This window comes from Homo sapiens, chromosome X (assembly GCF_000001405.40).
Source record: "Homo sapiens chromosome X, GRCh38.p14 Primary Assembly".
Taxonomy (NCBI): Eukaryota; Metazoa; Chordata; class Mammalia; order Primates; family Hominidae; genus Homo; species Homo sapiens.
Window position 1 is genome coordinate 5,641,223 of NC_000023.11, and position 15,117 is coordinate 5,656,339.

The 15,117-nt window shown below is 41.6% G+C and overlaps 3 annotated features.

Annotated features, from left to right (window-relative positions):
• Nucleotides 5,567-5,616: an enhancer, noted in NCBI's record as "active region_29379". NCBI's record gives its function as "activates an Ori minimal core promoter by ATAC-STARR-seq in GM12878 lymphoblastoid cells {active_cell/tissue: GM12878}" and the evidence as "EXISTENCE:reporter gene assay evidence [ECO:0000049][PMID:35858748]".
• Nucleotides 5,787-6,076: an enhancer, noted in NCBI's record as "active region_29380". NCBI's record gives its function as "activates an Ori minimal core promoter by ATAC-STARR-seq in GM12878 lymphoblastoid cells {active_cell/tissue: GM12878}" and the evidence as "EXISTENCE:reporter gene assay evidence [ECO:0000049][PMID:35858748]".
• Nucleotides 7,688-8,573: an enhancer, noted in NCBI's record as "OCT4-NANOG hESC enhancer chrX:5566951-5567836 (GRCh37/hg19 assembly coordinates)". NCBI's record gives its function as "activates a minimal SCP1, AML or CMV promoter by ChIP-STARR-seq in primed H9 embryonic stem cells {active_cell/tissue: H9 hESC(primed)}" and the evidence as "EXISTENCE:reporter gene assay evidence [ECO:0000049][PMID:30033119]".

Sequence of the window (15,117 nt, forward strand, 5' to 3'; positions counted from 1 at the left end):
CATAGTCAGGATGAGAAGGCAAGACATAAAGATATTTTCATTTATTATTAACACTTATGGAAAATACACGTTTTCTGCTATAAGTTAAATTTACCTTTAAATAATCCCAAAAAATAGTAATAGCATTATTGTATTTTAAGTGTATTAAGTGCTGTAACAAACTTAGCCACAAACTTAGTCGCTTAAAACAAGACAAATTTATTATCTCATACTCTAAGACCAGAGGCTGAAATAGATCCACAGGGCTCTGTATCTTCCAGAAGATTTTAGGGATGATCAGTTTTCTTGCCTTTTCCATTCTCTAGAGAATCCAACCTCTCTCTCTGACCTTCGTGTCAATCCTAAAAACCCCTCTCTCTGACTCTGACCCTCCTGCCTTCAGCTTAGAAGGACTTATGATGATATTGGATCCACTCAGAAAACTTAGTGTACTTTCTCCATCTCAAGATCTTTAAGTAAATAACATCTGCAAAGTTCCTTTTGTATGTAAGGTGCCAGACTCACAGATTCCAAATCTTAGGTTTTGGTCATATTTGAGAGCCATTACTCGGCCTACCAGAGTAAAGTCAGATAAAGTAGCATGAAGAAATGAGCTTCATGTTAGCGTTCTTTTTTTTTTTTTCTTTTTTTGAGACAGGGTCTTGTTCTGTCATCTATGCCAGAGTGCAGCAGTGTGATCAGAACTCACTGCAGCCCCAACTCCTGGGCTCAAGCAATCCTCCTGCCTCAGCCTCCCTAGTAGCTGAGACCACAGGTGTGTGCCACCAAGCCTGGCTAATTTTTTATCTTTTTTTGGAGATGAGGTCTCACTATGTTGCCCAGGTTGGTGTCTGGCAACATGGCTGCCCCCACATATCCCCACGTGTGTAGAACATCATGGCGCCCTGCATTTGCATATTAAAAGGCTAGGGCGGGCGGGGGGGCAGCTTTTTCACAGGCTATGTGAATGACATGCCTGGTCAAACCAATTCCCTGAGCCCTATGCAAATCAGATACCGCCTCCTCCAGCCTCCTTATAAAACTGGCTGGTAACCATGGCACTTGGGGTCTCCTCTTTTGGCTTTGGAGACCCCCTCCCTCTGTCTCTGTATGGGGGAGCCTCTTCCTTCTGCTTTCTCTTTTCTTTCTTGCCTATTAAACTCTCTGCTCCTTAAAACCACTCCATGTGTGTTCATGTTGTTTTATCTAATTCAACATGAGACAAGAACCTGGTGTCCCAATAGTCATCGGAGCCATATTACTTCTGGATATAATAGCAATAGGCACAGCTTTAACTTTTTTCCTTGTTTTGTTGCTTTCAAAATATTTTCACTTGCATCTTTCAATTTTGATGTTAGTTAATCTTTGTAGAATTGTATTGTTGATTCTCATGGATAGGTGAAGAAATTCAGTATCAGGAATTTTAATTCCTTGAGCAAATGAGTCCTGCTATCACCAGTATCACCTTCATACAGGCTGTGGAAAAGCTAAAATCTTTGCACAGTTACCCTGAAATTTGAAAGCAGGAACTCGAACAGGTATTTGCACATTCAGGTTCATAGTGGCACTATTCCCAATAGCCAAAAGGTAGAAGTAACTCAAGTGCCCATCAAAGGGAGGAATGGATAAACCTAATGTGGCATATATGAACAACAGATTATTCAACCTTAAAAAGGGGAATTCTGACACAGGCTACAACATGGATGAACCTTGAGGACATTATGCTAAGTGAAATAAGCCAGATACAAAAGGACAGCTATTGTGTGATTCCACTTACAGGAGGTACCTGGAAGAGTCAAATTCATAGGATGGTTGCCAGGGGAAAGGGGAAGGGGGAGGAAGAATGGGGAATTCAGATGTAAAGAATGCAGGATTTAAGTTTGGGATGAAGACAAAGTTCTGTGGGTGAATGGTGGTGGATGGATATCAATGTGAATGTTCTTAATGCCTCTGAACTGTACACTGGTGGTTACAATAGTAAAATGTATTAGTCAGGGTTATCTAGAGGGACAGAACTAATAGGATAGATGTATATATAAAGGGGAGTTTATTAAGGAATATTAACTCAGACGATCACAGGATGAAGTCCCACAATAGGCCGTCTGCAAGCTGAGGAGCATGAAAGCCAGTCCAAGTCCCAAAACCTCAAAAATAGGGAAGCCGACAGTGCAGCCTTCGGTCTGTGGTTGAAAGTCCAAAAGTCCAAAAGTCCCAAAGCTGAAGAACCTGGAGTCCGACGTTCAAGGGCAGGAAGCGTCCAGCATGGGAGAAAGATGGAGGCTGAAAGACTAAGCCAGTCTAGTCTGTCCATGTTCCTCTGCCTGCTTTTTATTCTATCCGTGCTGGCAGCTGATGAGATGATGCCCACCCAGATTGAGGTGGGTCTCTCTCCCCGAGTCCATTGACTCAAATGTTAATCTCCTTTGGTAACACCCTCACAGACACACCCAGGAACAATACTTTGCATCCTTCAATCCACTCAAGTTGACACTCAATATTAACCATCACATGTACGCAATGCATATTGTACCCCAGTAAAAAAAAAAAAAAGTCATATTGTGGACTTGTGTTTGCAGATTTAAAACACTGAGCTCCAGGAATTTTTTGCAGGAGAGATAATGAGACAGGTGCCAGTAACCCTCATTTGGTGACCCCTCTTACCCTTGAGCTCCCACAGGGCAGGGCAAAGCTCATGGGACTGGATAAGATTAGAATCTCTACACATATTAGGACAAAGGCGGGCAGGTTTTGAGAAGTAAGAAGGTTCCAGGTGTGAGGCTGGACACATATGCTCCTGAAAGGCATATCCATCCATGTAAGGGCAGATCAAAAACCCTGAGGCTTTTCCTCATGTTCTCTGTCCATATAGCCAGAAAGATTTGCTCTCTATGGTCTAAGTCAGAATTCAGGTTTCAAATTTAAGTGCAAAGTTTTGCAGTGGGAGAAGGGAGGGTGCTTATTTGCAAGGTGCCAAGTGAGGAGAATCGGGCAGTTCCTGCTTACGTCCTGACGTCCCTGATGGCTTGCAAGCAAGGATTTTTAAAGGCAGGGGTGGATTTCAGGAAAATGGAAGCTACAGGCAAAATCAGAACCAATACACGGAGGTTATGCATCAGTTTGACCTAAAAGGGCAGGATATCTTGAAGTGGAGGCTTATAGGTCACAAGTGGATTCAATGATTTTCTGATTTGCAATTGGTTAAGAACGGGAAGCTTTGTCTAAAATTTTGTGGTCAACAGAAAGAAATGTTCAGTCTGGCTTGTGGGCTTCCCAGGCCCCTTAGGAAGAAATTTCGAACAAAAATGGGAGGTCAGGATTCAGTCTTCAATTCCCCTGTATCTGAGGTCTGCGTGGCAGAGGATCCGTTTGGTAGAGGTCTAGATTTCTGAAAAACAACTGAGGGGCATATGTTAAGATGTTATCTTTAGTTTCTACAGGTAACTGAACATCTCATGACTCTAGCTTCCTTGGCTATTGTTTTAGGCTACTATTACCTTCTTGCTTGTCACGTTGCTCATTTACTCCTCAGGGCCAGCTAGGTGCCTGGAGTCTCCCCTGAAAGAACTCAAGATTTTCCTTTATTTTCATGCTCAGCGCGGGGGTGCGGCAGAGGTCCCTGCTCTGTCTCACTGGGACTATCAAGTGTCTGGTACAGAAAATAGAGCAACTCAATGCAGTTGCCGGTTTCAGAGCATTCTTGAATTGATCGTGAAACAGCTTTCCAGGTGCGATCGTATAAAGGATCATTGGCAGCTGTGCAGCTTGTCAGCTAGCTGCAGAAACCCAGGTGTCATGCTGACAGCTTCAGTGTTAATAGCCTTTCAGGTGAGCAGTGGGGGGCAGGAGAACAGAGCTGTGCTTTCCATAGATCATGCAGAGACCATGAAGACATCAGCTGCTGTCTTTTTTTTTTATGATTGAATAAAATGTGACATTTATTTCAATTCGATGTATTGAGCACTTACACAGACAAGCACTGGCAAATGCAGTCCCCATACTTAAAAAGCTCCTAAGCCAGTCAGGGAGGCAAATATCCAACCATATCAGTAAACTTCATGTGAGGATTGAGGCATATGTAATAAACTATGGACACAAAACCAGGCAGGAAAGATATACAATATTTGCAGACCTCCTGAGCCATCCTCTCATCCTGACTAGTTGTAATAAATTCAGTTTCCTCTTGTGTTAGATTAACTCCCTTCAGGACAATGTTTTTATTTTGTGACTTTGTCATTGAACTGATTTATTTCACCCGTTTTTAAAATTTTGCTTTGTGACTGCTTCTGAATGTTTGTGACCTAAAGCTGATTAGGATATGGGTTACTTGTTTCTCAAATTTAATATGCACACAGATTGCTGTGGCATGTAGTTAAAATGCAGATTCTTTTTCTGCAGGTCTCGGGTGGGGCCTCTTCCTAACAAGCCTCCTAACGATATTAACACTGCTGCCATGGAGGAGAAGTTAGTGGCTGGACACACTGAAAGACACCATTTAAAACTGCAAAGCAAGATTTCTCTGTAAGATTGCATGGAAAGGCTCTCTGTAATGAGTAAGTATTCTGATGTTACAGAGTTTAAACTTTGGAATGCGGGATTCCTCAGTGGGTGAAAATGTGAATGATGTATAACAAATACACAGTGAGAAGAGAGGGAAAAGCAAATCTATCATCTATCTATCTATCTATCTATCTATCTATCTATCATCTATCTATCCATCCATCCATTTATCTATCTATCCATCCATCCAACTATCCATTTATGTATCTATCTATCCATCTATCCATCTACCTGTGTGTTCTTCTGTCTGTCCATCCGTCCGTCCATCCATCCATTTATGTATCTATCCATCGATCCATCCATCCATCCATCCATTTATCTATCACTCCATCCATCCATCTATTTATGTATCTATCCATCCATGTATCCATCCGTCTGTCTGCCTGTCCGTCTGTCTGTTCGTCCTTCCATCTGTCCATCCATCCATCATCCATCCATCCATCCATCCATTTATGTATCCATGCATGCATGCATCCATCCATCCATCCGTCTGTCCGTCCGTCCGTCTGTCCATCCATCCATCCATCCATCCATCCATCCATCCATCCATTTATCAATCCATCTATCCATCCATTTATGCATCTATCCATCCATGTATCCATTTATGCATCTATCCTTCCATGTATCCATTTATCTATCTATCTATCTATCTATCTATCTATCTATCTATCTATCTATCTATCCATCCATCCGTCCTTCCATCTGTCCATGCATCCAGCCAGCCAGCCATCCGTCTCTCTATCTGTGTAAATGCATGTATGTACTTATGTACACACAAAGTCAAAATGCACTAGCCTGTAAATTATATCTTAACAAAAAAAATTTCTTCTAGAGGTTGAGAGTAAGAAATGGAAATGAATACAATGACAGCAGAGGTGTTGTTTCAGTGAATCTGTGGTGCTTGCATCAAATATGTATGTCCTAAAAATGAATTGAGCAGCTGTTCAAATTCAAAATACATGTATCCCACCCTACTTTTAAAAAAATAAAGTCAGAGCAATTATGTGGCCACTGGACCAGTTCTGGACCCCGGTTAAATTAGAAAGAGATTTCAGGCCACTGATTCTGAGCTGTTGGAATATTTTAACAAGGAAGTGAACTTAGAAATCAAGGTCTCTATGGTTTGTGACACCACTTACTCTGAAAAGTTTTACCAGAATGCATGATAAGGCAGTCGTCTTGTAAGCTCACATTTCACATGGGGACTCCAGCCTTGAACAGGAAGCAAATGCGTGTGCACTGGACTCTCAGTTCCACTTTCCCCCAGTCTCGCGAATAACCACAGTGCCTAAAAATATCCTTCATGCAAAGCTTTGCATGGTCTTATCTTTTCATCTCTGGACATCTTCCCTCTGAATTCCCTTCCAGGGTTTCTAAGGCTTCTCTGCTTTTTGTATGTGTAACATTTCCCTATCAGTTGGAAGTGTCCATCAAGAAAAATGGCAAGACGAGTCTCAACCATTTTAGAAGGTTTATTTGTCAAAGTTAAGGGTGCACGCCCAGGAGACAGGTCTATGCCTTTCTCTGAAGATAATTTTGAGGGCTCCAAATTTAAAGGGAAAAGGGCGAGATATTGAGAAGTACACAATTTTCATGTAAGAGGCAGGTAGGGAAAAATAGTTATTCATGCCTTTGTCTGGTACAGTGAATCTGCATCTTTTTACATAAGGTGACAGACAATTGTGGCAGAGGAAAAATGCAGGGAATCTGCATGTTACATAAGATAACATAGACAAAATGGGGCAGGGGAACAATCAGATACTCATTTGTGTCTGGTGGGCCAGAGGCGACTGCACCTGTAAAGATAAGCTATCATTGCCATGGTGAAATTTTAACAGAAACACCTTAGGGTAAAGATCTTTTTACCCTAGATCTTTTTATCCTAGATTATTAGGAAATCTAATTCCTGATGGATTTTCCTTGTGGGCAAAATATGCAGGAGGCATGTAGCTTTTCATCTTGCAGCCATCTTATTTAGGAACCCTGCAAAACAGGGAGGCAGGTTTGCATGACCCAGTTCCCAGCTTAACTCTTCCCTTTGGCTAAATTTTAATTTGGAGTCCCAAAATTTAATTTTCTTTCACAGAAGTGTAAGTACTGTTTAAAATGTCTTTCCTTTTAAAGAAGTAAACTGAAAATAACTTGGATGACACAAGTGGTCAAAATTCTTTGACTGACTCTTCCTAAGAAAGAAACTACTGAGATTAACTTCAGGTCACCTGGTTTTACAAAAGAGCTGCATTTGTCTTGTATTTTCCACAGAATTGTTGGAAATAGATAAAACATTGGCAAAACCTAGCAGCCCATCGATCTAAAAGCATCTTTCATTACATGTAAAAGAGAGTTGGTTTCATAAATGCTCTACAGTAGTTACTATAAACACAATCCCCTGAGGCTCTTGTTCCCAACGGGTGTTTTGAGATGAAACTGCAGGTGCTAGGCTCAAGGTGAGCGACGGTCTTTGATGTATATACAAAGGTTCATGCCTGAAAATGTTGACGCATATTTTTAGACCTTTATTTAAAATTTAACATTATCCCTTTATGGACTATTCAGAATTATCTGACTGTCCTTGCCTTTGTTCAGGTGATATAATCAAATGTTCGTTCAAACGATGATCTCTTGTTACCAGCCTTGCTTCCAACAATTTTTTTAAACTAATTGAAAATAAAATCTGACCATATTTTTATGTTCGAAATACCCTTCCAAATATCAAAGAAGGAAAAAATCATATATACATTAGTACATTTAAAATTGCCGAAAGCGTGCCTTTCAGATATGTACCTCGTTCAACATAAATACCTCACCATGTTTCCTAATAATAAATAATGAATAATTCCCATATCTTTCTTAGGACAGACTCGACGTCTTTCTTTCTGTGTGTAAGAGACCAAAAGTGCATGCAAGTCTTTGAAATGTTTAAACAGAGCTTTAGAAGCTTTTAAGAGAAGAAAATTATTTTAGGTAATGGAGAGAAAAGGAAACAGTCATGTCAAATATTGCTAGGCAAAATGTGAGTGAATCTCAAATGTGCTATCAGTAGCATTCAGAGGAATATGCTTTATCTAAGCTGGTGTGGGAAGATTACTGCTCCTAATCTTACCAGCACCAGATCCAGCACTACTGCAAGTACTGCTGTAACCACCTGAGGGGTTCTTTCTGCCCACTGCGTAAAGACCACTGCATTGTGTAGAGAAAGAGTTTAACAGACATGAGGCCAGCCACGCTAAGTGGAAGACGGAGTTCCTAGCCAAATCATCTCGTCCAAAGCTCTTAGGTTAGGGGTTTTTCAAAGGCAGTTTGGGGGAAGGGGTGGGGGTGGCCAGGTAACAGGCGCTTGCTGCTGATTGGTTGGGGCGGAGATGAACTCATAGGGTATCCAAGCTGTCCTACTGTGGGTTGAATCACTTCTGGATGGGGCTACAGGAGCAGGGTTGGCAGTCCAGGTGGAGCCATCAGGGTCCAGGTAGAGCCGTGGGCGTCAGACATGCAAAAAACCTGGAACGCTACCTCAAAAGGCCAATCTACAATAGTGGTGTTATTTGCAGGAGTGATTGGGAATAATAGCTGAAAACTACTTATGTCTGCACCTTCGCAGGACTCTTCTCCTCTGCCCAGCCTAATGGCCTCCATTAGCTTTATAAAAGCGGTTGAGTTTGGGGACAAGGCCTATTATCATTTAAACTATAGCTTCAATGTCTTCCAAAGTTAGCTTGGCCCGATAGCTCAGGAATAATTAAGGGGAAGGCAAGATAGGGGGTGGGTTAGCTTAGCTTACTGTTAAAATATTTTCTCACTGATACGATTTTCGCAAAGGTGGTTTGGTTACACTACAACTACTTGTACTGAAGTGGAAATAACTTTTATTGAGTTTGTGGTGCGTATCAGTTCTCTTTTTAAGGGCTTCACCTGTAACAACCCATTTCATCTTTGTAAGGATCCTATGGGTTAGGTCTTATTACTGTTCCAATATTGTGAATGAGTTAAGTGGTGCTATATTGTATAGACCTGTGTTTGTGTATTACTACTTGTTCTTGCTGTCACACATTTCATGTTCCTCTGCTCTTTTCAACTGCTTGTTCTGTAGACTTGGAGAGCCAGCATCCGACATAAAAATGATAGTCTTATAGAGTTTGTTAATCAGCTCTCAACACTGTGTAAGAATAGACCCCTGGATCGGCTTCTGTGATTGCATTTTGCCGGATATACTAACTAAATTCCCCCAAATTTGGTTTATACCCTGAATGGACTAATTTGCACTATTAAAAATCATGTGATAGAAGAATTTTTAGTGGTATGATGAAATTAAAGTGATATACATTGTAAATTTTAAAAGTGCCAATTCCACATCCAAAATAAAATACAATCTTTATTTTGGGAAACAAACCATGCACTGTACATGTGTTTATCTTTATGGGCAATTTTTTAATCTATAATTTTTTAAATTCGCTCAATATTTGAAGAGGAACATGTATTTTCACTATGTTTTCACATTCTTTGCAGGACACTGAAAACTCAGCGAGACCCTGACTGGAATATTAAAAAGAGGCCCTCCTCACTGTGTTTGACTCATTGCTACTGTTACTGGAAAGAGGCCCGAATTCAGACCCCAAAACAGGGCTCTTGGATCTCGTGCAAGAAAAAATTGGGGGTAAGTCCACAGAGTAAAGTAAAAGCAATTATTAAGAAAGTAAAGGAATAAAAGAATGTCTACTCCATAGGCAGAGCAGTGCCTTGAGCTGCTGGACTAAGGATATTTATGAAACAGTCAGGTGGGAGGGGCTCCCTAGAGAAACTCCAACCAGGTTGCCCACTGGTGGGCTCCGAGGTGGATGGAGCCTGGGGAAGTTCACAAGTTTGCAGCAGGGAGGAGCCTGGCTCCTCCTCTTCCTGTGTGAAACCTGGGATTCAAGCTGCAGGCGGGAAGGGCTCTAGCAGGGACTCTGGCTTTTTGGACGATCCCTGTTTTCCCCTTTTTTTCCTTTTTCACCCAATAAAACCCTGCTTCACTCACGCTTCAAACCATGTGCAAGCTTAAATTTTGGTAGCCATGGGATGCACAAGGACCCCATCTTTAGCTGAACTGAGGAAAAGTCCTGCAACACTTATAGTTATTTCTTGCTCATATGCCAAACAAGAAGTGGATTCTTCATAAATTTTCCAGGAAAGGGGTGGGCAATTTCTGGAACTGAGGGTTCCTCCCCTTTTTAGACCATATAGAGTAACTTCCTGATGTTGCCATGGCACCTGTAAACTGTCATGGCACTGCTGAGAGTGTCTTTTAGCATGCTAATGCATTGCAATTTGCATATAATGAGCTGTGAGGATGACCAGAGGTCACTGTCATTGCCGTCTTGGTTTTGGTGGGTTTTGGCCAGCTTCCTTACCACATCCTGTTTTATAAGCAAGGTCTTTGACCTGTATCTTGTGCTGACCTCTTATCTCATCCTGCGACTTAGAATGCCTAACCTCCTCATAATGCAGCCAAGTAAATCTCAGCCTTATTTTACCCAGCCCCGATGTAAGATGGAGTTGCTCTGGTTCAAATGCCTCTGACACTACGAATTCATCGTAATTTCTCCTGCAGATGCTTTCCAATACTGACAACTGTGCATGAATACTTCCTTTCATATTAGAAAAACAGATTACAAAGTCAATAGAATTTTCTGGGATTTTTTTGATTGTTTTTGTCTTATCCAGATGAATTGCTTTATTTTCATTTCACTCATATTGATTTGGTTTCAGTTAAAATAAAAATATTATTTCAAAGTTATTGGAGAGCAGTCCTTTTAGAAACAAACAAAAAAAGATTTATTCCACTTGCATGCATTGTTTTTTTTAGCTAGAGGTTTTTAATCTCATTCTGGCCAGGCATGGTGGCCCATGCCTGTAATCCCGGCACTTTAGGAGCCCAAGTCAGGAGGACTGCTTGAGGCCATGAGTTCAAGACCAGCCTGGGCAACCTAGTGAGACCCCATCTCTGCAAAATAACTTAAAAATATAGCCTGGAGTTGTGCACACCTGTAGTCTCAACTACTCAGGATGCTGAGTGGGAGGATCACTTGAGCCCAGGAGGTCAAAGCTTTGGTGATCCATGATCATACCACTGCACTCCTAACTGAGCAACAGAGCAAGACCCCATCTGTAATAATCATGATATAATTCTGTTATTGTTGTTTGCCTCTTATTACCCACTAGTTTTGTGATGTATTTTTACTTAATCTGCTTATTTATAAACATTTTACCTGTAGCACTAGAATAAATAGGTTCTGCCACATTAGTAAATTTCCAGATATAATTTTAAATAGGAATTTTAGTTTTAGAAGAAAAACAAAACCAAAATAATGCTAACCTGTCTTTTTTTCAGAACGGTGTATGTACACATTTTCAAGAATTAGTAAAAAGTCAGTTTGCCTCTCAAATACCACAAGTACACATCTAAATTTATCTTGAGAATCTCTACCACTATTTTTGTTTAAATTTAATTAAATCATAAAGAGCACTGTTTGCATGAATCTTTGTATGAAACTGCTCTACAATACCACCGAAGAGGCCGGGCGCGGTGGCTCACGCCTGTAATCCCAGCACTTTGGGAGGCCGAGGCGGGCGGATCACGAGGTCAGGAGATCGAGACCATCCCGGCTAAAACGGTGAAACCCCGTCTCTACTAAAAATACAAAAAATTAGCCGGGCGTAGTGGTGGGCGCCTGTAGTCCCAGCTACTTGGGAGGCTGAGGCAGGAGAATGGCGTGAACCCGGGAGGCGGAGCTTGCAGTGAGCCGAGATCCCGCCACTGCACTCCAGCCTGGGCGACAGAGCGAGACTCCGTCTCAAAAAAAATAAAAATAAAAATAAAATAAAAAATAAAAAATAAAATAAAAAATACCACCGAAGAGAAATTTTAAAGTAAGTACAACCCTGAAATCCAGAGGAAAAAATCATTTGGCTTTAAAGCAAAACACTTTTATTTAAGCTGACAAAACACACACATACACACACACACACACAAAATGTCAGTGATAACTGTGATTGAAGCCACTAATATTTTAGAAAACCAAATTCCTTCATCTTTCAAAACTATTGGTTTCAAAGAGATCCGCATACAGAGAGTTATACAACTGCGGGCTTTGAGTTTGGCTGTGAGCTCTTGAAACTGTTCATAGGGTTTCTAAAACTGTGACGATCTTCCTGTCTTCTCTTTTTCTTTTATATCCTGTTTCTAATTTGTTTGATGGATCTTTTTGACCAAACCTTCAAAATATATCCAGAGGCAGATACTACTTCTGAGAAAACACCACAGCTCCTCCTACTCAGAACCATCCTTTTTCTTCCCTGTGAATTTACGCAAACATCCTTGATCCTTACTCTTGGGCACACTTCCAACACTCTCCACCCATTCAGCAGAGGATAAGTCCTTTGCACAATGCTCTCCAATAGTCCCCCAACTCAGTCAGCATCAAAACTTTAAGATATCTGGCACCATCTCACATTGAGTCCTTACCTCAGATTTCCCTTGCTTCTCTGCCTTCCAGCCAGAAGTTACCTTGCTTTGCAGGAGGCTCCAGGTTCACTCTACTTTGAGGTATCCTCACTGGATGTTCCCCTTATGGAACCCTAAATTCAGGCTCATGCAGCTACAGCCAAGCACTGAGACATTGATGCTTGGAGATCAAACAAGATTTATTCAATTTGGTCAAAGCAAGAAGTTGGGAGAGCAAGATGTCTCAAATCCATCTTAACAAAAAGAGGAAGCAGTGAGTTTTTAGGTAGCTAAGGAGTAAAGGAGAGGCAGTTTCAGGGAAGTGAGGGGGAAAAGTCTGCGTTTCTTTATTCTCAGGTAACATCTTGAGCAACCAGATTCCTGGGTATCAGCAGCTGGTCGCAACGTCCTTCAAGGCATTCATTCCTTCTGCAAATTTTTTCATGACCCTCAAGTGACCTTCTCCTGCTTGACAAAGAAACAGTACATCAGCAATTTATCGTTGTATTGCAGGAACAAGGGATGATGGGCAAAAACTGAGTAGTTAACTTGTGCAAGCAAGCAAGAGCTGAAGCAGAATTGTCATGATTCCAGTCACTAAAAATGCTAGGTATAGAAATCCTAAGGGGACTGGTTTTATTTCCACTGCAGTGGAGAAGGCTTTTTTCTCAAGTCTCTCTCTCTGTTGCTCACTGTCTTATCTCTGTCAAGTCTTTGTTCATGTGCTGGCATCGCTGTGATACATTCCTTTGATACCTTTTGATCTTGGTTAAAATTGCATCACATAACCTCCACCCTCACCATCACCCGCCCCCCGCCCCCCCCCCCCGGAGCCAACCTGGTCTACACTAACCATTTTATAACATTTGTCATCTTATAAAATACTACTTAGTTCGTATGATATATTTGCCATTGTGTGTCTCTTCTACTAAAACATAAATCCCTCAAAGGTAGGGATCTCCCTTTGTTTTGTTCGATGCCAACATATTCTCAGTACCCTTCCTGGGATATTCATTGCTCATAAAATAAATACTGAATAAATCAACTAGTACATGCACAAATGCACAAAAATGTCTACAGCTTTTCTTAGTGAGATGGGAGAGTTCCCTGACCCCCTCACAGGACTTGCGACAGGATTGTGACTTGCTTACTCTGCCACTGCATATTCAAACCCTTTACAGGTGGGAGAGCATGCAGGTGAGCAGGTGCAGGAGCCAGGGTGAGTGCATCTGGGCTCTGGCTCCATGACGGTGCCTAGGGGTGTTACAGTGTTCCTTTAGCCCTGCTGCCTGGGGATGGCTTAAGTGTTAAACAGCTCAGTGAAAAGTTAGTGTGACAACCCTTTTGGGTTCCTGTACCCAGTTGGTCCTGAATTCTTGTCTGGTGTCCAGGAAGAATGAGGTTACTTGGATTTGAAGGATGGTGAATGTGGGGATTTTATTTGGTGATGGAAGTGACTCTCAGTGGGATGGGGAGCTGGAGAGGGGATGGAGTGGGAAAACGATCTTTCCCCTGGAGTTCGTCTGTACCATGGCCAATTTCCTCTCCAACTGCCTCCAGCCAAACTCCTGTCGATGTTCAGATGCTTCCTCTATTCTCTCCTTGTCTGCTGCGCCACTTTGTTACTCTTCCACTCTGCTGCTCTTCTGCCTATGGAGCCTGGGGCTTGGGGTTTATATGGATAAAGGATGGGGACATGGTGGGCCAGAGTGGTCTTGGAAGAGGCAACATTTGGGCGTGGAAATAAGAATATCTCTTTCCATTGAGGGCCACAGGTTTCCAGGCTTGAGGGTGAGGCCTTTGTGGGGGAATTTTCTCCTGCCCCCCATCTGTATCATTAGGAGAAATTTAACTCAACTTCACATAGTAACTATGTGGGATAACTGCAAAGTTTTTTTTTCTCCTACAACCTGATTACTAAAATAGCTACTGTCTCTCTGTTACTGAAATGCCAGGGGTTCAGTCTAGGTCCTCCTGCTTGCCACACAGAAAGGCAATCATTGAGACAATGAGTACTGCCATGGAAGAAGACTTAAATCAGGTGCTGCAGTCGAGGAAATGGAAGATGAGTCTGAAATCTATCTCCCTAACTGACTCAACTTAGGGGTCATAATAATAGCAGGGAAGAAATGTAACTGTGTGTGAGAAAACAGGAATTAGGGAGGGGTAAGGAAGAGGAGTATTCAACAGGAGGTAGGTGATTGGTTAAGAAATCGGGAATTAGGGAGTGGTAAGAAAGCAATCATGAAGAATGAGGGGTCTGGCATCTCATTGTCTGGATGTGGTAACCTGTTGAGGTTTTGTTCTTTGATAATTTTTGAGAGCCCTGAGGGTCATTTCCTGAGGAAGGAACTCAGATAAAACAAATGTAAGGTTCAAGTTGCTTTAAGACTAGAAGTGCCCATTTCTATATGTATCAAAAACAAAAACAAAAACAAACCCACACAAAAACCAAACAACAAAACAATTGTCTATGGGACTATTGGGTTGGTATCAATTGATTAAAACATTTTGCAGGATTTTGTAAATTTGTGAAAGTATTTTGGATAGTTGTGCATTAAAGCCCTTCAAGATGTTCCAGTTGATGAGGGAGAGAAGAAGGTATTTCATGGAGACAAAAGATTGGTACAAAGGCAGTAAGTAGCTGGGAGCTGGAGAAAAACACAAAAGCAGACATCAAAAGGCACTATATGCAAGTGCCCATTTGGAAGTAGATTAAAAAAATGAAGAAGAATCCTTATAAGTTAAGTTATTATGGAAGAAAAAAAATTCCTGTGTCAGGAAAGATGCAATTCATTTATCATTCATTCCTTATTCCTTCCTAAATTCATTTCTTAAATTTTTTTTGAGCACGTACTGCATGGGTCTGTGGAGTATTCTAGGTATAGGGAGTAAAGTAGACATGCAAGCTGTTTTGGTCTGCTCAAACTTCCTTGACATGAGACAAACAGCACATCGAGAGCTCAGTGACACTGCTGTGTCTCTGCCTGAAGGGTTTGCATTCTTCAACTTGATAACTGAGTACAAGATCCCTGCTATCTGCAGAGCACCCAGGCAGCCAACAAAAGTGAAAGGGGCTGGGTGTGGTGGCTCACGCCTGT